The sequence below is a fragment of the Homo sapiens genome, chromosome 19 (genome assembly GCF_000001405.40).
Source record: "Homo sapiens chromosome 19, GRCh38.p14 Primary Assembly".
Taxonomy (NCBI): Eukaryota; Metazoa; Chordata; class Mammalia; order Primates; family Hominidae; genus Homo; species Homo sapiens.
Window position 1 is genome coordinate 52,007,749 of NC_000019.10, and position 22,534 is coordinate 52,030,282.

Genomic DNA, 22,534 nt, shown 5'->3' on the forward strand with positions numbered 1-22,534 from the left:
AAACCTGAACCATAAACCGATTCGCTGACAAAACAAACCCTCCAGTTCGCAATCACTGAGCCCCGCCAAAGGACAACACCAAAGACACCAGAATGTGACTTGGGCACTCAGTAGCGGATCTCTAGAGATCTTTAACCACAAACTACACGAGGACCCTGTGACTGGTCCCAGAGGTACCCCGATCACACACACACACACCCTATCACGGACCTCTTGTAGTTCCCCTGCGATAGGAATCGGACCCACGCTAAGCTCCTGAAAGAATTCCACTGGCGTCGCCAAACGCTGGCGCCGACAGATACCAGTCCATCACCACTGTCCACGAACACGCCCAGCCACGGACAGAATTTCCTCCCCCGTCACCACAGCGACCACCCAGTGACTGAACTTACTTCCCAGAACTTGGTGGGCTCCGGCCTCATCTCTCGGCCTCCTCAGTGCCTGACGGCGACTATCCAGGGTCGGAGGCGTTCCCAGCGTTTGCGCAGATGCAAGATGGCCGCGCCCTCGTCGCCTTGGCTCCATGGGGGCCGCCATCTTTGAGTATCTGACGTACACAAGGCAAAGGGCGCGTTTTGGCGCTGGTGACCGGGGGTGACCGGGGGTGACCGGGGATGGCCGGGAAGATGAAAGAGCACTGAAACTGTCCCATTTCCTGGCACCTCAACCCTTCATAAATACGGGTCCATATACAGAGGCTCCAGTTTACACAAGACAAAAATGGCGTGGAGGTAAATCCCTTTCAGCAGCTGAATAGAAGGCTAAGATGGCCGCGACGTTTACACTTTGTACAAAGGTTAGGAAACAGTTCCTTGTGAGGGAAAAGGAGAACCGGCCGAGAGGGGACACTTCGGCCAAAGCCAGATTTCTAACAAAGTAGCTTGAAGCGCCTTTTGAACGCAGAAGAGGGCTGTTAGCTACGCTGACGGAACAGGGGTAGCAGTCACAGACTAGGTAATGAAAACGGTTGGAACGTGCCAAAATTATGTTGGGTGAAAGGCATGGGGAAAAGCCAGTAAAAGCCAGAAAGTATAGTTCCCAAGGCGGAGGGGAGAGCCTGGGACCCAGGTGGAGCCAAATATGAGGGCTGGACTCAGGAGAAGTGGCCAGAAATTAAGGGAACAGGACCACTTCAGTGAGAAAAAAAAGGTTGGGAAAGAGGCCGGGCGCGGTGGCTCACGCCTGTAATCCCAGCACTTTGGGAGGCCGAGGTGGGCGGATCACCTGAGAGCGGGAGTTCGAGACCAGCCTGACCAACATGGAGAAACCCTGTCTCTACTAAAAATACAAAATTAGCCAGGCATGGTGGCGCATGCCTGTAATCCCAGCTACTCGGGAGGCTGAGGCAGGAGAATCGCTTGAACCCGGGAGGCGGAGGTTGCTGTGGGCCAAGATGGCGTCATTGCACTCCAGCCTGGGCAACAGGAGCAAAACTCCATCTCAAAAAAAAAACAAAAGAAAGAAAGGTTAAGAAGGAGATCACGTTATACTACGTGTGCCAACCGCGAATAGTATGTGCAAAGTCATGGCAATGCTGAACTGTAAATATAAATCCAACCAAACTTCCTATATTAGAAGAATGAGAGAAAGGAAATGCCTGTGTGAATCTATGTGTGTGATATAGGTATCAGTATATAAATATACAGAGAAATTGTCAAACTATTTTTCAGAGTCAAGTTCGTGTTCCATTTGCTCTTCTCACCCTTGGTATATGAGAGTTTTTCTTTTTTTTTGTTTTTTTTTTGTCTCTTTTTGAGGCAAGGTCCACTCTGTTGCCCAGTCTGGAGTGCCTGGGGAGATCACAGCTCACTGTAACTTGGAACTCCTGGGCTCCTGAATAGCTGGGACTACAGGTGGGCACCACCACACCTGGCTAATTTTTTAATTTTCTGTAGAGACAAGGGTCTCACTATGATGCCCAGCTGGTCTTGAACTGGCCTCAAGCAGTCCTCCCACTTCATCCTCCAAAAGTGCTGGGATTACAGGTGTGAGCCACTTCACCCTTCACCCGGCCTATAAAGAGATCTGAAAAGAAATAAGAAAAAAGATGGGCGCGGTGGCTCATGCCTGTAATCCTAACACTTTGGGAGGCCAAAGCGGGAGGATTGCCTGAGTTCAGGAGTTTGAGATCAGCCTGGCCAACATGGCGAAACCCCATAGCTACTAAAATACAAAAAAAATTAGCTGGGCATGGTGTCTCAGGCCTGTAGTCCCATTTACTTGGAAGGCTGAGGCACGAGAATCGCTTGAACCCAGGAGGCAGAGGTTGCAGTGAGCCAAGATCATGCCACTGCACCCCAGCCTGAGAGACAGAGTGAGACTCTTGTCTCAAAAAAAAAAATAAATAAAAATAAGGAAAAGATGATCAACTTAAAAGCTCCCTAAAATTTTCTATAAATACATGAAGGAAATAAACAGGACACTTTTTTTAATGTAAATGATCCTAAACAATTTAAAAAATACCAGTTTTACTAATATTCAAACAAATGCAAAGTAAACGTGAAATATAAATGTTTTAACCCTTATTAAGATTTGTAAAGATTGAATGACAAATCATATTTAGATTATAAGGCCATGGAACAAAGGCATTCTGTTATGCTAAGCCTCTTTAAGTCTTCTTTTTCTGCATGGTAGGTAATAATGTTGTCAATTACATACTGCTTTAAATGAATTGAGATATTATCATACTGGTCATAATTCGAAGTTCTTAAGCATTACATTATTTCTAGGTATAGGATTGTGTTTCTATATAAATTCGTAAAATGTTTTTGTAGTACAGTCTGTTATTACCCAGTTTAAACTTTTCCTTCTCCTTGAGCCATGAATTTTAAGAATTGATTCAATAGAACTTTTCTTTGTGAGAACAAATATGTGCAAGGATATTTATGGTATTGATCTGACAATTATAAGGAAACAAATACTTTTGTGGTTATTGCATAAATTTATTCTTGCATCTCTATATTCACATCTTTGGATAGTATTCTCCATAGTGACTGACTAATGTGTCCAATAGGACAGTAGCAAGTGTAACACAAATGGAGGTGAGAAATAAGCTTGCTCATCAAGGCTTGCTTGTCTCTTAGAGATCTTCCAACACATTGTAAGAAAGCCCAGACTAGCCTCTTGTTGACTGTGTAAATAAAGGCCTCATCCATTCCAGCAGAAGCCCAAATATGTGAAAAAAGCTATTTAGACCATGCAGCCCCAGTCAAAATCCAACCACTAGAGCCTCCGGCCCAGCAGTCCCAATTGTTACTAAACTCTGTGGACAAACATAATGCCATGAGTGGGTGGGGGTCACCTAATCTGCCATCCAAGTGCTTATCCCTGCTCCTAGCCAAGCAGGACTTGCCAGCTTGGGTGGTGTCCAAGTAGGGAGGGGCCCTCACTCTTGGATCACCATAAGAGTTGAGACAGCTGGGTCTGCAGGACATTGGAAAAGTCGGGTGTGCCTTCCTCTGTAGGGCCACCTGGGAAGGATACAGCTGTCTGCAAACCATGATGTCTGCCTGAGGGAGCCCCATGAGCAGAGGATGCCCAAGGCCTTGGGAACCCACGCCTTGCACTAGATTTAATGACTACCCTGCTGGGTTTTGAACTTGCATGGAACCTATAGCCCTTTCTTGTGGCTTTCTCCCTTTTGGAATGGGAATGTTTACCCAACGTCTATGCCCCCATTGTATCTTGGAAGCAAATAACTTTTTATTTTACAGGCTCATAGGTAGAAGAGACTTGCCTTGTCTCAGATAAGACTTTGGACTTTTGAGTTAATGCTGGAATGAGTTAAGACTTTGGGGACTCTTAGGAAGGCATGATGGTATTTTACAATGTGAGGACATGAGATTTGTTGGGGAGGGAGACCAGGGGCTGAATGATATAGTTTGGATATTTGTCCCTGTCCAAATCTCATGTTGAAATGTAATTCCCAATGTCAGCCGGGCGTGGTGGCTCACACCTGTAATCTCAGCACTTTGGGAGGCCGAGGCAGGTGGATCACAAGACCAGGAGATAGAGACCATCCTGGCTAACATGGTGAAACCCTGTCTCTACTAAAAATACAAAAAAAAAATTAGCTGGGCATGGTGGCGGGCGCCTGTAGTCCCAGCCACTCGGGAGGCTGAGGCAGGAGAATGGTGTGAACCCAGGAGGCAGAGCTTGCAGTGAGCCGAGATCGTCCCACTGCACTCCAGCCTGGGAGACAGAGCGAGACTCCATCTCAAAAAAAAAAAAAAAAAAAGGAAATGTAATCCCCAATGTTGAAGGTGGGGCCTGGTGGGAGGTGTCTCAGTCATGGGGGCAGATCCCTCATGGCTTGATGCTGCCCTTGCAATAGTGAGTGAGTACTAGCAAGATCTAGCTATTTGAGTGTGCAGCACCTACCCCCTCCACTCTGTCTTACTCCTGCTCCCTCTTCACCTTCCACCATGATTGTAAGCTTCCTGAGGCCTCCCCAGGACCAGATGCCAGTGCTATGCTTCCTGTACAGCCTGTAGAATCATAAGCCAATTAAACCTCTTTTCTTATAAATTATCCAGCCTCAAGTATTTATTTATAGCAATGCAAGAATGGCCTAAAACATGCTGTCTCTACAAAAAAAAAAAAAAAAAAAAAAAAAGCCAGGCATGAGGGTGCACACACATAGTCCCACCTACATGGGAGGCTGACGCAGGAGGAACACTTGAACCCAGGAGTTTGAGGCTGCAGTGAGCTATAATCGCACCACTGCACTCCAGCCTAGGCAACAGAGACTCTTTTTTTTGTTGTTTTTGTTTGTTTTTCAGACAGAGCCTATTCCGTTGCCCAGGCCTGGAGTGCAGTGGCAGGATCTCAGCTCACTGCAACCTCTGCCTCCCAGGTTCAAGTGATTCCTGCCTCAGCCTCACAAGTAATTGGGATTACAGGCGCCAACTGTAGAGCGCCCGATCCTGTCACTGTTTGGGGCGCCACTACGTAACCCACAAGGACCTAGGGGGACTGAAAAAAGTGGGGGAAACGGGAATAAAAGAGACAAAAGAGTATATTTGGAAGAAGGGATCAGGGGACACCTTGCCTCTAGTGGACAAGGGCCCTGAGCTTTACACAGCCCTCCATATTTATTAGGCAAAAGAGATAGTGAGAAGGCGGGTGGAAGAAGGGGTCAGCTACTCAGTCCAGAGTAGGGTTTGCAAGATGGCATTCTCTAGATGTCCCAGTAGATAACCTCAAGGAGCTCAGCACCAGGAAGCGATTGCCCTCAGCAAACCTTCTGGCAGCGGAAGCAGTCATGAGTTTGCCCACATCGTGCATTCATGATAAAGTTTGCTGTTTGATCATATAGCCTCCAGTGGAATGCTGAGTTGGTCACATCCCATGGGCCTTCGGCTCCCAACAGCCCAGCACCATACCCAGCTAATTTTTTGTGTGTATTTTTAGTAGACACAGGGTTTCGCCACGTTGGCCAGGCTGGTCTTGAACTTCTGACCTCAAGTGATCCGCCTGCCTCGGCCTCTCAAGAGACCCTGTCTCTTAAAAAAGAAAAAAAAGAGGTTAAGATTGTAAATCCTAAAAAAAAAAAAGCAAAAGCAAAAGCTGTATGTAGATTTCACAGCATCTTTATTTATAGCACTTAAAACCAGGAAAACAGTGCAAATATATCTCATAGGTGAATGGATAAACTACTACATCAAATATGTATACTACTCTCAAATATAAACAACTTTCATCTGGTTAGATACATGGTGGTAAAAAAAAATAATAAAACAACTATTCATCAACTCATATAAACCTTAGGAGTAATTTGCTGAGTGACAAAAATGCCAAAAGCTTACATACTCTCTATCAATAAAAATTCATATAACTTATTTATATAAAATTTATAAAAACCATTTACAAAAACAATTTTATTTTTATCATATTCATGAAATGATGAAATTATACTGATAGGAGAAAAGTGGTTGGCAGAGTTAGGTTTGGATGGAGTGTAAGCATAAAAAGGTAGCATGAGGGACTTTGTGTTCATTAGTTTTATGTGGTTGCAGTGGTTACACGAATCTGTACATGTAATACAACTTCTTAGAGTACAAACTAAAAAAGAAAAAAACATGTAAAAATTCGTCAAATCCAAAATAAGATTAGTACTTTATAGTATCCTACCAATGTTGTTTTTCTGGTTTTGATAATTATGGTTATATAGGATATTTTTACTAGAAATTGGTTGAAGGATACTAGCAAAGCCTCTAGACTGCTTTTGCAATTTCGAGTTCAAATTTATTTAAGTTGAAGGTGGTTTTATAAACTGATCATCTCTATAATCTTAGTTAAGCAAGTCCAAATATGTTGTTAATATATTTAACATATTCAGTTTCTTTTCTACTTAAGTTTGCTTAATGTACAATTAAGCTCAGAGCCAAAGAAAGGAAAAGAGCTAATCATAATATGGGGTGGTTGTTCTGGAGTATTTTCTGACACAAATAAATTCTCTAATTCTCCCACACCAATTGGGTGTTCTACAATTCAATTCTGAACAACTGGGTGTTCTATAATTCAATTCTGACACTAACTTCTCCAAGTTAGTGCAGACTCCACAAGTTAGTGCAGTCCAAGTTAGTGCAGTGCAAGTTAGTTAGTGCAGTCTAAATTAGTGCAGACTCCACAAGTTAAGGGGCTCAGTCCAAGACTTCCCCCACATCAGATGCCACTCACAAGGACAACCTGCAGTTCTGAATGGTGATAAATTCCGAGTTCCCACTGCCCTACTCAGGTTTGATAATTTGCTACAGGGCTCACAAAACTCAAGAAAACAGCGTACTTTGTTTTACTGGTTATAAAGGACGCAAATGAACACTCAAATGAAGAGGTACATAGAGTAAAGCCTAAAAAGGGTTCTCCTAATCTCAGGAGCCTCTACCCCTATGAAGTTGGGGGTGCACCACCCTCTTGGGCTATTTGGAGTTCTCTTAATCTCATTGTCTAATCTAATCTCCAGCACCCCTCCCCTTCCAGGAGGTGGGAGAAATGGGGCACAAAGTCTCCATCCTCTAGTTACTTGATCTTCCTAGAGAACAGCCCCATTCTGAGGCTGTCTAGGGGAGCAACCATAAGTCACTTCAGTAGTATAATCAGGTGTAATTAAAAGGGCAGTGCTATGAATAACAACAACAGCAAAAACAAAACAAAACCAAAAAACTCTTATCACTCATGAAATTCTAAGCGTTTTAGGAGCTCTATGCCAGGAACCAGGAACAAAGACCAAATGTATTTCTCATTATACCACAATTTTACACAACAGTAAAAATAAACAGTAATGAGACAGTATATTATGGAATCATTGGCAAGGCAACTAGAAATGAGGATTAAGGTATCCTGACTGAAAATGCACACCAGGTGTATTAGCTGATGTTTAAGGTTATACTTATTAAGAAAAAGCACTCAAATATTCATCATTTTCACCACATTTCATGCCTTCATGAGCTGTTGATAGTTTGCTAAAGGTGTTCCACATTTATTTGATAGCATGTTCGGAACAATTTTACTTTCTATGTGATCTCCTGACAAATGATGAAGCAGAGTGCGTCGCTGAAATCCTGCCATCAATACTGTCACCTTAAAGTTATTTTCCAGTGTAAACTTTGACACTCACTGAGGTCATATTTCTGAGTAAAGACTTTGTCATGGTCATCATGTTTCTATCAACAATAAGCTCACTTACGTTGAAATCTATGATGAAACCTGATAATAAAGTCTATCTTTCCACAGAAGACTTTTCTTAGTCTTTGTATTCACAGAATTTATCTCTGTATACTTTTCAGACATATGAGCAGAAATTATTGCTCAAAACATCTCCACATTAATATAGTTTATTCAACGTATTTTCATTGACAGAAAATATGAGGTAAAAGACCACTAAAGGCACTACCTTATTTACTGTATTCATCAAATTGATCTCTAGGGCAAATTATTTCACCTCCTGAGGACAGACACACATCTGTCAACAGGCAGCACCATGTTTATGTTCCAATTGGCTAGAAACACACTGATGTTTAATGAAGTCTGAGTTGCCACAAAAGGCATTTCCATAGTCACGGCACTAGTAGGGTTTTCTTCTGCATGAGTTCACTTATAAGGAAGGAGCTGTGACTCTCCATTACAGGAGTTTTCAACTTGACTGATTCTACCCATTTCTCTTGTGTGCATTTTCTTATGTTTGACAAGGTTTGATAAGTGGGAGAAGGCTTTCTCACAATCACTGCATCCATACGGCCTCTCTCCTGTATGCGTTCTTTGATGTACATTGAGTACTGACTTTGTGGTGAAGGCTTTTCCACATTCATTGCACTCATAAGGTTTCTCTCCTGTGTGAATTCTCTGATGGGTAATGAGGCCATATTTGTGTGAATAGGATTTTCCGCACTCGGTACATACAAAGGGAGTCTTTCCTGTATGACATCTCTCATGTTGTATGAGGCATATTTTCTGGCTGAAGGCTTTACCACATTCATTGCATTCATAGGGTTTTTCTCCTGTATGAGTTCGCTGATGTATAATAAGAGTGCGCTTTGTGGTGAAGCCTTTACCACATTCATTGCATATGTAAGATTTCTCTCCTGTATGAGTTCGCTGATGTATAACGAGAGTGCGTTTGACAGTGAAGCCTTTTCCACATTCGCTGCATATGTAAGATTTTTCTCCTGTGTGGGAGCGCTGATGTACAATGAGATTGCTCTTCACGGTAAAGCCTTTTCCACATTCACTGCACATATAGGGTTTCTCTCCAGTATGAGTTCGCTGATGTACAACAAGATAGCGCTTCATGGTGAAGCCTTTTCCACATTCACTGCATATATAGGGTTTCTCCCCTGTATGAGTTCGCTGATGTACAATGAGATTGCTCTTCACAGTGAAACCTTTTCCACATTCTTTGCACACATAAGGTTTCTCTCCACTATGAGTTCGCTGATGAGCAATTAGATAGCGCTTCATTGTAAAGCCCTTTCCACACTCACTGCACATATAGGATTTCTCTTCTGTATGGGTTTGTTGATGTGTAATGAGACTACTCTTCACAGTAGAGCCTTTTCTATATTCATTGGGTATACAGATTTTGTCTGTTGTATTAGTTTTCAGATGCTTAGTGAACAGGACACTTCTGGATAATTTCTCACATTGACCACTTCCAGGATTCTCTTGTATACAAATGTTCTCATGGTAAATGAGCTGAGACTTCCTAAGGAAGGTTTGCTCACATTCAATGCATGCATGGGGTTTCTCAATTTTCTGAGTCCTCTGATGCTTGAAGACTTGGAATTTAGTATGGATACATTTTGCATTTTCAGAAAATCTAGTTTTAGTATGCGTACGTTCATGCTTACCATGTAGAAGTGTTTTCTCACCTCCAATAAACTCAACAGGGTTATTTATTCCATGTCTTCTCTTCTGGTTGATTAAACTTAAACTTGATTTCAAATTTTTTCTGTACAAGTCAAATGTATCATGATTTTGCACTATAGGAAAATGTGTCTTGCTGAGATGTACAATATTTCTAAGTGTATTCTGTCCATTGCATTGCTGCACGCTCTTCAGAAGTCTTTGGTTTGGAGAGTGCTCTTGCAGATGACTGTCAACTTTCCCGATTCCTAAGAAAGAACAGAGTAACAAATTCTTCCATGAGAATTGTATGAGATAAAAATGCTTATGAGGCCGGGCACGGTGGCTCATGCCTGCAATCCCAGCACTTGGGGAGGCTGAGGCGGGCAGATCACGAGGTCAGGAGTTCAAGACCAGCCTGACCAATGTGGTGAAACCCCGTCTCTACTAAAATTACAAAATTAGCCGGGCGTGGTGGCACATGCCTGTAATCCCAGCTATTCAGGAGGCTGAGGCAGGAGAATCACTTGATCCCAGGAGGACGAGGTTGCAGCAAGCCGAGATTGGGCCATTGCACTCCAGCCTGGGTGATAGAGCGAGACTCAGTCTAAAAAAAAAAAAAAAAAATCTTAGCTTATGAGATGATTTGCTGGGGGCTGGCTCTTTATTGTCAACTCTACGATCCCAGTATAAAAGGAAATTATGAAGATATAAGCTGAAATATATCCAAGAAATCAGATCCAAGAAAAGACAAAAAGTCTTTAAAGCTATAACAGCATTAAAAAAGTTATCAGATGGGGAGATGAATATATAGTGGAGCTGCTTAGGTACCCTCAGATACTTCATATATGTGACACCTTTCCTTAATGACTACAATAAGACTCCTATAGCCACTGTCCTTGCTGGTTCTCACTTACCTGGACAATTTTTATTCTGAATTTTAGCATCTGTTGTCCATGGTTCTTGTCCATGTGCCAACTTGGAGAGTACATCTGGTTTGCTAGTTTGATACCCTGTTCATGAGGAAAGACAAACACAAACATCCTGAATTGGAGTCCAGTATGTCAAGATGGAAAAATAATACATTCGATGAAGAAAACAATTTCAAAGTAAGCATTCTGTCTTAGAAGAGATTATACCACTTTGGGGTCAGAGAGGGGACTGAAAATGTAACTCTTCCAAACACCACAGTGACTGTAAAGCTTTGATTAGGTGAGCATAGGACGGTGTCTGGGCATTGTAGGCACCTCTAGGTGACACAGGGAAACTATTCTTACCCAGTGATACTAGGTGGTTATAGTTCTCCACCATCACATCCCGGTACAGGTTCTTCTGAGCAGTGTCCAGGAGCTGCCACTCCTCCCAGCTGAATTCCACAGCCACATCCTCCAGGGTCAGTGATTCCTGTAATTACAAAGTCCTATTCAATATGATATAAACTCCTATTGTTAATATAGAAGTATAAGATAATTTTTTAAAAATTTTCACAATACAGCCTGCATCTATATTCCTTTCTCAAATATACTTTGGTAGGAGCAAAATCCTCTATCTATACATTTTAGCGCCTATTTCTAAATATTAAACGTAGGCAAATGACATCAGGACAAATAAAACATCCCTACATTACCAATGACTTCACAACCAATATAAGGATCTGTCATGAATAGACTTCACATCTTGAATTCATAAAATAGTGCTTTTAAATAAATGTAAGAGAAAAGATGAAACTATATCTGTATAAAGCACAAAAGGCCCCTAAAGTTGATTAGATTTTTATTTATTTTTTAATTTTTAAAGAGAGATGGTCTTGCTCTGTAGCCCCAAATGGAGTGCAGTGTCACAGTAATAGCTCAATGCAACCTTGAACTCCTAAGCTCAAGCGACCTTCCCACCTCAGCCTCTCAAGTAACTAGGACTACAGGTGGATGCTACTACCAATTTTTGTAGTGACAGGGTCTTGTTATGTTGACCAGGCTGGTCTTGAAGTCCTGGCCTCAAGAGATCCTCCTGCCTCGGCCTTCCAAAGTGCTGGGATTACAGGTGTGTGCCACTGCGCCCAGCAAAAAAAAACTTCTAACAGAAAAACATATATACATATGTGTATTAATGGACAGATTAACAGCATATTAGATACATTGAAGATTATTGGTGAATTGGAATATATAAGTGGAAATGGCAGAAAATGCAGTACAGAGAAAAAAGATAAATCATAACAAAGAAGTTAATAAATATGAAATACAGAGTTGCAAGACCTAGTGTATGCCCACTTATGGTTTCTAAAAGGGAAAATAGTGTAATAGAGAAGCAATATCTATTAATAAATATCCAAAACCTAAAATATTTCAGAACTAAATACCTCAAATCTCAAATTCAGAAATCCCAACAAGTTCAGAGCAGGAAGTCACAACTGGTGTGACACATCAGACTGAAACTACCATACATCAAATGCAAAGGGAAAACTATAGAATCATCAAGAGACAAAAGACAGATTACCTACAAAGAAATAACAAAATATACTGATGGCTGACATTTCAATAATAGAATCCAGAAACGTATGGAATACAATCTTCAAAGTCCTAATTCTTGCAACAAAAAAGGCCAATTTTGGAAGGCCATTTGGGATTAAAACACATGGCTAGCAGATGACTTGCTGTCTTACAACCATGATATCAAGGACCTGTTTGTCAACTAAACTGTCATTCTCCTGCTTCACAATAACTTTTCAGAGAACTGCAGAGTGTGAAGTAGAGGTAACTAAGATCCAAGGAAATACTGATAAGAGAATCTATGCTATATTACTGTGTGGGATGCTGCATAGTCAAGAAAGTAGACTCATGAGAGTGCGCAAGTGCTCAAGCCTGGTCAGTTTATCTCATTCCAAAATCTTTATGTGAGATGTCTATCGACTGGGTAAGTGTAAAGTTAAATTTCTACCTCACTCCACAGTCCAAAAGAATTTATTACTGGATGGAAATCTTGCAGGCCAACTCTAAGGTGTCCTCTGATAATCTCATTCTCTAGCTGCAGTGACTTCTGACATCAACTACCTGGGTTAGGCCAAACTTCCCAGGTTAAAAGCACAATCCTCCACAAGACTGCCCTCACTTCAGACACAAGCTGCAAGCTTAAGGCTACACAGACCACCCTCAACTCCAGCGAGCTGGCTACAAATGTGTGGAGCTACCATGACTCCCTCAGGTTTAATAACTTGATAGAACAACTCAGAGAACCCAAGAAAGTGCTGTGTTTACAATTAGCACTTTACTATTGCAAAATGACACAAATCAGAATCAGCTAAAGGAAAATATGCACAGGGTGAGGTCTGGGAAGGTTCCAAACACAAAGCTGCTGACTGTCCTCTCCTCATGGAATCCTTGGTGGCATTACATCTTCCTGACTACATTGTGTAACAATATTCAAGAGTACTTGCCAGCCAGCGAGGCGCACCTAAACTTTGATGTCCAGAGATTTTATTGAGACTTCATGATGTAGGCACAGTTTATTGAAGCATTGCCCATGTAGCTGAGTTCAGTCTCCAGTTCCCTCCCCTTCCTGACTGGTATTACATGGCTCAAAGCCACAACTCTCTAATCACTTAGTGCGCTTTTTGGCATGGGCAGCCCCTATCCAGAGTCATGTCATTGCCATAAATTATCTAGGGATCTACTATGAGTCACCACTATACATATAGATATAAACTATCAAATATGAGTGGCCCACCATGAATGACAGAGACACTCATAACTTGGGTAATTACAAGGGTTTAGAGGTTACCTCCCAGGAACGAAAACAAAGGCTAGCCAAATTCTTTATTACACTCTAGGTGTTCCTGCCCCTGTGCAGTACCATCCTCCTGAGTATGAAGTGGCCTAAAAGCTTGTTTCTAAAGAAAAGAATACAGCAAAAGTGACAAGATGCCACTTTAAGATTACACTCTATATGACTTCCATCTTGCTAGCAGAATCTGTCATTTTCTAGCTTTGATTAAACAATTTGGCACATAGGGGAGGTGCATGTGACAAAAAACTAAAAGTGGGCTTTGACAAACAGACAGGTAGAAACTGAGGACCTCAACTAAACTACCTCATTTCTCATTCTGGAAATGAATCCTCCCAACAACCACATAAGTGAGCTTAGAACTGCATCTTTCCCCATTTCAGCCTTCAGATCAGATTCCAACCCAGCTAACACCTTGACGACAACCCCCATGAGAGACTGTGAATCAAAGTAGCCAGGTAAGCCATGCCCTTATTCCTGAGCCACAGAAAGTGTGAGATTTTTTTTTTTAAGTGTTGTTTCAAGTCACTACCTTTTGGAGTAATTTCTTAGGTATTAATAGACAATGAATATAAGATGTAAACTTAAGAAGAACTTATGAGGCCAGGAGTGGGGCACACATCTGTAATTACAGTACTTCCAGAGGAGAGTTTGAGCCCAGGAGTTTGAGACCAACCTGAGCAACATAGTGAGACTCTGTCTCTATTCTCTACAAAGAACAAAAAATTAGCTGGGTGTGGTAGTGGATGCCTGTGGTCTCAGCTATTCAGGAGGCTAAGGCAGGCAGATGGTGGTTGAGGCTGCAGTGAGCCATAATTGTGCTACTGCACTCCATCCTGGGGAAGAGGGCGAGTCCCTGTCTCAAATAAAGAAAAAAAAAAAAGGAATAAATGAAAACATGTTCATGATATAAGTAAAAAGCTTTAAAAAAAATGACTTCTGCATGGGAAAAAATATTTTGAACAAGCTAAAAGAGAAGTAAGACTCTAGAAAAATATTTGCAACATATAAAAGAATCAATATCCAGTCAAGATAAACAATTATAAATCAGTAAGACCACAAAAAAATTAAATGAACAAAGACTAAAGACACTTTATGACAGAATAAATAATCCAAAGAAACAACAAAGAGATGAGAAGGATCTGAACCTCACTGGTGAATGGGAAAATGCAAAATAAGGCAAAATAATACTGGATCATCTAGATCATGGAAAATACACAATTTGATAACATAGTAAGTGTTGGCAAGATTTGCAGCACTGAATGTTTTTGTGCAGTGTTTTCCAACACTAACAACCAATTCTCCAATTATCTAAACATAAACTAGATGTCCAACAATTCAATTCAATTCTGACACTATCTTTGTCAGAATCCACAGATTTAAGGGTTCAATCCTACAAGACTGCCTCCTCTTGAGTTCCTCTGCCCGGCCGCCCCACTGTCTGGGAAGTGAGAAGCGCCTCTGCCTAGCCGCCCACCATCTGGGAAGTGAGGAGCACCTCTGCCCGGCCGCCCCACACCACCGCCGCCATCTGGGAAGTGAGGAGTGCCTCTGCCTGGCCCCCGCAACGTCTGGGAAGTGAGGAGCGCCTTTGCGCGGCTGCTGTGCGACCCTCCAAGTGTGAAGTGACAGCCTTGTGTGTGATCTTTCTGCCCTCCCCAAGTTTGCATTTTCGACATTAAAGTTTACTTTTCAATTAAAATTTTTAAATTGGAGAATATATAATTTAAAAAAAAAAAAAAAAGACTGCCTCCTCTTAAGATGCCAGTCACAAGTCCTGGGCTACCAGTATTTCTGACTAACTGGCTATAAATTAGAGGCTCCCACAAACCCCTCCTCAGGTTTGATAATTTACTAGAACAGCTCATAGAACTCAGGAAACACTTTACCTATGGTACCTAGTTAATAATAGAGGATATAACTGAGGAACAGCCAGACTGAAGAAATGCATAGGGCAAGATATGGAAGAGGGTGTGCCAAGCTTCCATTCCTCTCTGCGTGTGGCATCCTCCCAGCACCCTGGTATGTTCACAAACCTGAAGCTTGTTCAAGAGTACAAAAAATTAGCCGGGTGTGGTGGTGGGTGCCTGTAGTCCCAGCTACTCAGGAGGCTGAGGCAGGAGAATGGCATGAATCCGGAGGCGGAGCTTGCAGTGAGCCAAGATCATGCCAGTGCCCGCCAGCCTGGGCATCAGAGTGAGACGCCATCTCAAAAAAAAAAAAAGAAAAAAAAAAAAAGAAAAAAACTCACAGCCTGGGCGACAGAGCGAGACTCTGTCTCAAAACAATAATAATAATAAATAAAATTTTTTTTTTTTTGAGATGGAGTATCGCTCTGTCACCCAGGCTGGAGTGCAGTGGCACGATCTCAGTTCACTGCAACCTCCACCTCCCGGGTTCAAGGGATTCTCCTGCCTCAGCCTCCTGAGTAGCTGGGACTATAGGCACGTGCCACCACGCCCAGCTAATTTTTGTATTTTTAGTAGAGACGGGCTTTCACCATGTAGGCCAGGATGGTCTCGATCTCTTGACCTCATGATCCGCTCGGGATTACAGGCGCGAGCCCCCATGCCCAGCCTGTTCAAGAGTTTTTATAGAACTTACTCTCCAGTCCATTCCTCCTTTCAGTTCCAATCCTCTAATTGCTTGGTCTTTCTGGGGACCAGTCTCATCCTGACACTATCTAGAGGTCTCATGAGTAGTCACCTCATGAGCAGAAATTCAGGTGTATCACAGGGTTTCCTTATGAATAACAAAAGACACACCTATTTCTCAGGAAGAAATTCCAAGGGTTTTAAGCATACTGTGCCATGAACTGGGAACAATGACCAAATATACTTATCCGTGTCACTTTCTATATACCAGACTGTGAAAAATAAATATACATTTGGTCTCTGCCCTCCAAATCTTTGGAATTGCTGAAGTGTCTTTTATATGCTATTGAGATGACTGGTGCCTGGGGCTCTTCCATGGCCTCAGGAAGGGAGCTGGTTGCCAGGGGAACCAACCTTGTGACAGACAGTTGGAACTTTCAGTCTCACCTCTCCAACCAACCCCTGACCTCTGTGGAAGGGAGAGGTGATGGAAATTGAGCTTACCACCAATAGTTAATGAATTAATAAATTATGCCTATGTAATGAACCCACCAAAACAATAAAAGGATGAGGTTGAGAGCTTCCAGGCTGCTGAACATAGGGTAGTCCTGGGAGGGTAGAATACCCAGAAAGGGCATGGAAGCCCTGAGGCCCTTCCCCATTACCTGACCTATGCATCTTTTCCAACTGGCCATTCCTGAGTTGTACCCTTTCATAATAAGCCAGTAATCTAGTAAGTAAACTGTCTTCCTGCATTTTTTGAGCCTTCTAGCAGATGAATAGATCTGAGAAGGGGGTTGTGGGGACATCCAATTGGTAGCCAAGTCCAAAAGAACTTGTGAGTAACCTGGGGACCCAGCACTTTTCAGGGGGGCAGTATTGTGGGACTGAGCCCTCAACCTGTGGAGTCTGTCCTAAGTCTAGACAATTAGTGTCAGAATTGAGTAAATTTTAGAATACCTAATAGGTATGGAGAATTGAATTGATGTGTGGGAAAAACCCCACATATCTGGTGTCAGATGTGGGGAAAAGAAAGAGAGATCAGACTGTTACTGTGTCTATGTAGAAAGAAGTAGACGTAAGAGACTTCATTTTGTTCTGTACTAAGAGAAATTCTTCTGCCTTGAGATGCTGTTAATCTGTAACCGTAGCCCTAACCCTGTGCTCGCAGAAATATGTGCTGTGTTGACTCAAGGTTTAATGGATTTAGGGCTATGCAGAATGTCCTTTGTTAAAAAAGCACTTGAAGGCAGTATGCTTGTTAAAAGTCATCACCATTCTCTAATCTCAAGTACCCAGGGACACAACACACTGCAGAAGGCCACAGGGGCCTCTGCCTAGGAAAGCCAGGTATTGTCCAAGGTTTCTTCCCAAGTGATAGCCTGAGATATGGCCTCGTGGGAAGGGAAAGACCTGACCGTCCCCCAGCATGACACCGGGGGATACCCGTAAAGGGTCTGTGCTGAGGAGGATTAGAAAAAGAGGAAGGCCTTTTTGCAGTTGAGATAAGAGGAAGGCATCTGTCTCCTGCCAACTACTTGGGAGGCTGAGGCAAGAGAATGGCGTGAACCTGGGAGGCAGAGCTTGCAGTGAGCCAAGACTGCGCCACTGCACTCCAGCCTGGGCAACAGAGCAAGACTCTGTCTCAAAATAAATAAATAAATAAATTAGTAATTTTAAAAAAGTTGGTTGGCAGGCACCAGCATGCAAAGAATGCCAATATTCCAAAAATGGTCTGGAGTATGTACATTAAAATGACAACCATAGTTCCTTCTTGAGTGGTGGGTGATTCATGTATCATTGTAATGGTCAAAAGTTGAACTACCAACAAAGCATGGATTCTTTCATATTGAGTCTACTTTTTTTTCCTTCTTTTTGAGACAGGGTCTTACTTTGTCACCCAGGTTGGAGTGCGGTGGTGCAAACATGGCTCACTGTAGCCTCGTCCTCCTGAGCTCTAGCAATTCTTCTCCCACCTTAGCCTCCCGAGTAGCTGGGATTACAGGTGTGCACCACCACACCCAGCTAATTTTTGTATTTTTTGTAGAGACGGGGTTTCACCATGTTGCCCAGGCTGGTCTTGAACTCCTGAGCTCAAGCGATCCAGAATCTACTTCTTAAGGCAGAATGAACCCCCACCTCTACTCCCAAAAGCAATGTAAGTTAATTTCTCCCTAGAACACAATTATCCCAGTATATACTTCCTTAAGTTCAACTGACTTCTTCAGGCCACCATAAATCTATCAAAAAATCAAAGGGAAAATATCACCTGGGTCTTGATCATTTTCTTCTGTGCTCAGAAAATAGTGGATAACATGGACTATACGTCTTTGTCTCTTCTGCATTTGCCATGAAGTTTTTGAAGTTTTCCTAGTCAGAAATATTAGTGTCCACTTAAAGTTGTCCCCAGAAATTATGATATCCAAGGCCAGCAACCTCCTTCTTCTTCCTTCATTGCTTCACTTGAGTTATTTTGCTTCTGGGAGCCAGGACCTGAGGACTGATAAACAAAATGGCTTTCAGTGTACATTAACCCTGGGTCCAGACATTGTCACTGCTGCTCTGCACTTACCTTAAATAAAAGACCCTAATATTTCTAACAGTTCCTTTATTTGCTGCCTCAGAGGTTTTCATGGTTCTAAATGTGTGAAATCTATGCCTTTCTTTTGTGAAGTAGAAGTGGCATGACTATTATAGAGAAGGTGGGAAAGCAGAACCAGCACAGCACAATGCCTCAGAGGCAGGTGTCTGGGGAAAAGAAAGAGAGATCAGACTGTTACTGTGTCTATGCAGAAAGAAGTAGACATAAGAGGCTCCATTTTGTTCTGTACTAAGAGAAATTCTTCTGCCTTGAGATGCTGTTAATCTGTAACCCTAGCTCCAACCCTATGCTAGCAGAGACATGTGCTGTGTTGACTCAAGGTTTAATGGATTTAGGGCTGTGCAGGATGTGCTTTGTTAAAAACGTGCTTGAAGGCAGTATGCTTGGTAAAAGTCATCACCATTCTCTAATCTCAACTACCCAGAGACACAATACACTGCGGAAGGCCGCGGGGACCTCTGCCTAGGAAAACCAGGTATTGTCCAAGGTTTCTCCCCATATGATAGCCTGAGATATGGCCTCGTGGGAAGGGAAAGACCTGACCGTCCCCTACCCCGACACCTGTAAAGGGTCTCTGCTGAGGAGGATCAGTAAAAGAGGAAGGCCTCTTTGCGGTTGAGATAAGAGAAAGGCATCTGTCTCCTCCTCGTCCCTGGGAATGGAATGTCTCCGTGTAAAACCCCATTGTCTGTTCTATTTACTGAGATAGGAGAAAACCGCCTTAGGGCTGGAGGTGAGACATGCTGGTGGCAATACTGCTCTTTATTGTACCGAAATGTTTGTGTGCGTGCACATCAAGGCACAGCACGTTTCCTTAAACTTATTTATGACACAGAGACCTTTGTTCACATGTTTTCCTGCTGACCCTCTCCCCACTATTACCTTATTGTCCTGCCACATCCCCCTCTCCGAGGTGGTAGAGATAGTGATCAATAAATACTGAGGGAACTCAGAGACCAGTGCCAGCGTGGGTCCTCCGTATGCTGAGTGCTGGTCTCCTGGGCCCACTTTTCTTTCTCTATACTTTGTCTCTTATTTCTTTTCTCAGTCTCTCATCCCACCTGACAAGAAACACCCACAGGTTGTGGAGGGGTGGCCCCCTTCAAGGTGAATTCTCAGACAGATCAATTTTAGGAAAGAGAACACATGGAAGGCTCCAAGAATGTCTTTAAAAACCACGTGTGCCCATGTACTGGTTCGAAAGTCTCTGTAAGCTCTTTGGGTATACATACCTCGTGTCAAGACCAATGTACTAAGCAAATCACAAGAACTGTCTCATTTCACATTATGCGCTAAAGGAGTAACTTTACCCAAGAGAGCTTTGTCCTTTGCCCACAGTTCCTATGAGGCAAACTCTAAGCCTTTGGAATACGCTGCTTGATAAAACTGTCTTTGGTTATCAGGGCAATTTAAGCCATGCCAAATTGTCTATCCTAATAATGTGATTTACTGTGGGAGACCTTGGACCACGTGGTATTAGTTTGATATCTGGAGGAGCTGGAGATTGAAGTCAGCCTCATAGGCAGTCAATTGTGTGTGTGTGTGTTAACTGATATCCAATAAAACTCTGGACACCAAGGCCTAGGTGAGTGGCAACAATGGTTACAATGGCTGGCAATAATAATATAAGGGTGTATATATAAGAATATGATAATTTAAAAACGTATGAAGCAAAACAGAATGAGAGAGGATTAGACAATTCAACAATAATAATTGAAGACTACATTACCCTACTTGCAATAATAAAGAAAACAAATAGAAACTCAGCAAGGATACCGAAAACTTGAACAACATTATCAACCAACTAGACTTAACGAACATTTAACACTGCACTCAACAGCAGTAAAATAAACATTTTTTTCAAGAGCACATGTTATATTCTTCAGGAAAGATAATATCCCATGTGATAGCCTGAGATAGGGCCTCATGGGAAGGGAAAGACCTGACCGTCCCCCAGCCCAACACCCGTAAAGGGTGACTCACAAGGGCCCCAGACCCAGACAGAGTCGGACTCGTCGCTGATTTCCTCAGACTCTTCATCCCTACAGCCAAAGGACCCGTCATTAACGCCCCGCTTCCTCAGCGACTGCGTTCAAATACAGCCCCAATCAGGACGCTCCACGCACCATCGGTACACAGACCCACAGGCCGCGAGTCCATGCCCAGAACTCGACTCACCCGAGCCCGAACCTCTCCAGACACCACTGGCAGCGACAAAACGCCGCATCCACGTCCGAAAACGCTTCCTATTCAGACGCGCTCCTGCGCGGACTCCGGGAAGCTGAGCGGTAAAGACCGTGAAGCGAGGCGAGGACCACGGAGCCTGCCCGGGATCGCGAGTTCAGACTGCGGGCGCCGCTCTATGAGGTCACAGGGCTGCGCCCATCGCAGCGTTTCTGACAGGAGCGGCCATAATGGCTGTGGGAATCACTCTTAGTCACCTCAGTGCCTTTCTCTCTTCGTTGCAAGGGACACTCAAGAGTCGGGTGCCCAGCCAAGGCCAACACGGCGCAGTGGCATTCTATTCAGCCTGCTGTGGAAAAAAGATGGCGGCGCCCTTTGTGCCCATTATAGCTGAGAGTGGAGCCTTAGCTGGAGCACCATGGGCACGGCCATCTTAGAGGAAGGCAGCAGCCGTACGGCAGAGAAGATGCTCATATCCAGGACAATTTGGAAAAATAAACAAGGTTTGAAGAAGTCACGGTGCTGGCCAGGAAGCGGTCACAGAGTTGCCAAAACCAGTGGTCACTGAAAGTGTTAGATTTGGGGATAGGGCGGGGGTTCTGGGCTGGGTAAGGCTTTTGTGGGTTAGATTAGACTCTGACTGAATGGACGAAGCCGAGAACAGGAGTGATGCTCCATTAAATGCTAATACCCACATGGGGCTTGCTATTAAAACCACTGCCAGTGGGGAAGGGGATGAGGAGGTGAAGGTGCAACTGTGTTAATATCTACATGTTTCCTTCCAGAAGTAAAGGAAGATGACAGTGGGGCACTTAAGAATATGAAATTATTAGAATGCGATCATCCTACTTTGCAATGTTTCCAGATTTTTTAAAAAGTCACACTTAAAAAATATTAGTTCTATTTTTGCAGATGTTGGCGTTGTAACTGTAGAAGATTTAAGTAAATATTGTATTTTTGGAAGGCAACCTAGAGCCAATTTAATTTTTTCGTTTTCTTTGACACAGCAATTCTAAAAGCTATCTAGGCAAATCTGTCTTAATATTAACCACAACTTTTGTAATTTACAAAAAAAGGGAATTACAATGAGAGATGAATACTTTGGTAAATTATGGAACATCTGCTGAACTGTAAGAGTATATATCAATTTAAAAGAATATGCTACAATTGTTTTATAAAAAAGAAAACTTTGTCAGAGGACAAAAAAATGATCTGCAGGATAGTATATATTTTATGGTCTTGTTATTGGAAGAAATCATAAACATCTTTTGGAAAATTGTGATTGGTTAAACAAGACATTTAGTTTGAATTAATATTGTTTGTGTTCATAGGTAGAGAATGCCATGTTTTTACTTGAAAAATATTCCCAATTTATACTTAATTTTACTATCTTTGTACCATAATCATGAATATATTATAAAACATGTTGATCTTAGAAAATAGGTATGATGATGTATAATAAGTTCATGGCATGATAAATGCAAAATAGGCTGTTTTCTTTCAGAAAATAAATATGCTCATGCATTTGAAAAATTCTGGAGAATATACTAACAATATTTGACTGTTCCGTACAATTATGGTGACTTAAAATTTCTTCATTTTACTTACGTTTTGTAATTTCTAGAGAATAAGAATTTCATGTTCGTATTTCTTGAGTGTTATAACATATTCCATCCAGGATTAAATTTCAGCCCCGTTCATCTGGAATGTTAATCTCTGGTAGGTAAGTTTAGCACCTGGTCCACAGGACTATGAGCAGCCCATGATGGGACCTTCACTGATCATTTCCAGGAGTGGGCTGATAAAACTTTGCCGTGGCAGGCTGTGCTGATTCACGGGACAAGGAAGGTGATTCAAGGGCCTGGTTGGTGGAGCACTTTTGTCTGATTCATTGCTGGAGACAATCTGCCCTGAATCCATCCTGTTACAGTGTGGGAATGGTGATGGGAGCACCAATCCACAATTTAGGGCAGAGATGTTCAAATTTAAGAAGGCTCTTTTTATAAATGCAGAGTCCGAACCCCATCCCCAGAAA

At 42.6% G+C, this 22,534-nt stretch overlaps 2 protein-coding genes and 2 long non-coding RNA genes across 19 annotated transcripts in view, besides 4 other annotated features; 2 read left to right on the forward strand and 2 right to left on the reverse strand.

The window, feature by feature from the left end:
* The window catches only part of ZNF615 (zinc finger protein 615), a 16,880-nt gene extending 16,417 nt beyond the window's left edge, over positions 1 to 463 (reverse strand). For all 14 annotated transcript variants that reach the window (NM_001321317.2, NM_001321323.2, NM_001321321.2 and 11 more), the window contains exon 1: positions 393 to 463. In NM_001321317.2, coding sequence (NP_001308246.1) covers positions 393 to 422 — 30 coding nt within the window. In that variant the 5' untranslated portion in view covers positions 423 to 463. The remainder of the gene's footprint in view (positions 1 to 392) is intronic.
* Positions 224 to 833: an enhancer, noted in NCBI's record as "active region_15032". NCBI's record gives its function as "activates an Ori minimal core promoter by ATAC-STARR-seq in GM12878 lymphoblastoid cells {active_cell/tissue: GM12878}" and the evidence as "EXISTENCE:reporter gene assay evidence [ECO:0000049][PMID:35858748]".
* LOC124904755 (uncharacterized) lies at positions 550 to 14,821 on the forward strand. 3 transcript variants are annotated; one of them, XR_007067322.1, is made up of 3 exons: positions 550 to 731; positions 13,503 to 13,577; positions 14,488 to 14,657. It is a non-coding gene; the product is annotated as an uncharacterized LOC124904755 (long non-coding RNA). The 3 variants fall into 3 exon arrangements; XR_007067321.1 differs by having other exon boundaries at positions 13,503 to 14,821; XR_007067323.1 differs by lacking the exon at positions 550 to 731 and adding an exon at positions 10,350 to 10,451 and having other exon boundaries at positions 13,503 to 14,821.
* Positions 894 to 973: an enhancer, noted in NCBI's record as "active region_15033". NCBI's record gives its function as "activates an Ori minimal core promoter by ATAC-STARR-seq in GM12878 lymphoblastoid cells {active_cell/tissue: GM12878}" and the evidence as "EXISTENCE:reporter gene assay evidence [ECO:0000049][PMID:35858748]".
* ZNF614 (zinc finger protein 614) lies at positions 5,576 to 20,631 on the reverse strand. The gene is made up of 5 exons (NM_025040.4): positions 20,494 to 20,631; positions 17,983 to 18,213; positions 10,620 to 10,746; positions 10,260 to 10,355; positions 5,576 to 9,611 (listed from the first exon to the last, which is right to left on the reverse strand). Exons 2-5 carry the CDS (start codon positions 17,995 to 17,997, stop codon positions 8,092 to 8,094), a joined length of 1,758 nt encoding a protein of 585 aa, NP_079316.2. The 5' UTR covers positions 17,998 to 18,213; positions 20,494 to 20,631; the 3' UTR covers positions 5,576 to 8,091.
* Positions 18,651 to 22,032, forward strand: LOC112268244 (uncharacterized). Its single transcript, XR_002958414.2, has 2 exons — positions 18,651 to 18,790; positions 19,364 to 22,032. It is a non-coding gene; the product is annotated as an uncharacterized LOC112268244 (long non-coding RNA).
* Positions 19,118 to 19,888: an enhancer, noted in NCBI's record as "H3K27ac hESC enhancer chr19:52530119-52530889 (GRCh37/hg19 assembly coordinates)". NCBI's record gives its function as "activates a minimal SCP1, AML or CMV promoter by ChIP-STARR-seq in primed H9 embryonic stem cells {active_cell/tissue: H9 hESC(primed)}" and the evidence as "EXISTENCE:reporter gene assay evidence [ECO:0000049][PMID:30033119]".
* Positions 20,359 to 21,118: an enhancer, noted in NCBI's record as "active region_15034". NCBI's record gives its function as "activates an Ori minimal core promoter by ATAC-STARR-seq in GM12878 lymphoblastoid cells {active_cell/tissue: GM12878}" and the evidence as "EXISTENCE:reporter gene assay evidence [ECO:0000049][PMID:35858748]".
* Positions 22,033 to 22,534: the final 502 nt, after the last annotated feature.

Coding starts and splice junctions, on each gene's coding strand:
- ZNF614 (NM_025040.4), bottom strand. Junction 10,356..10,619: donor TAACCACCTAGTATCACTGG/GTAAGAATAGTT, acceptor CCTCATGAACAG/GGTATCAAACTAGCAAACCA. Junction 9,612..10,259: donor TCAGAATAAAAATTGTCCAG/GTAAGTGAGAAC, acceptor GTTCTTTCTTAG/GAATCGGGAAAGTTGACAGT.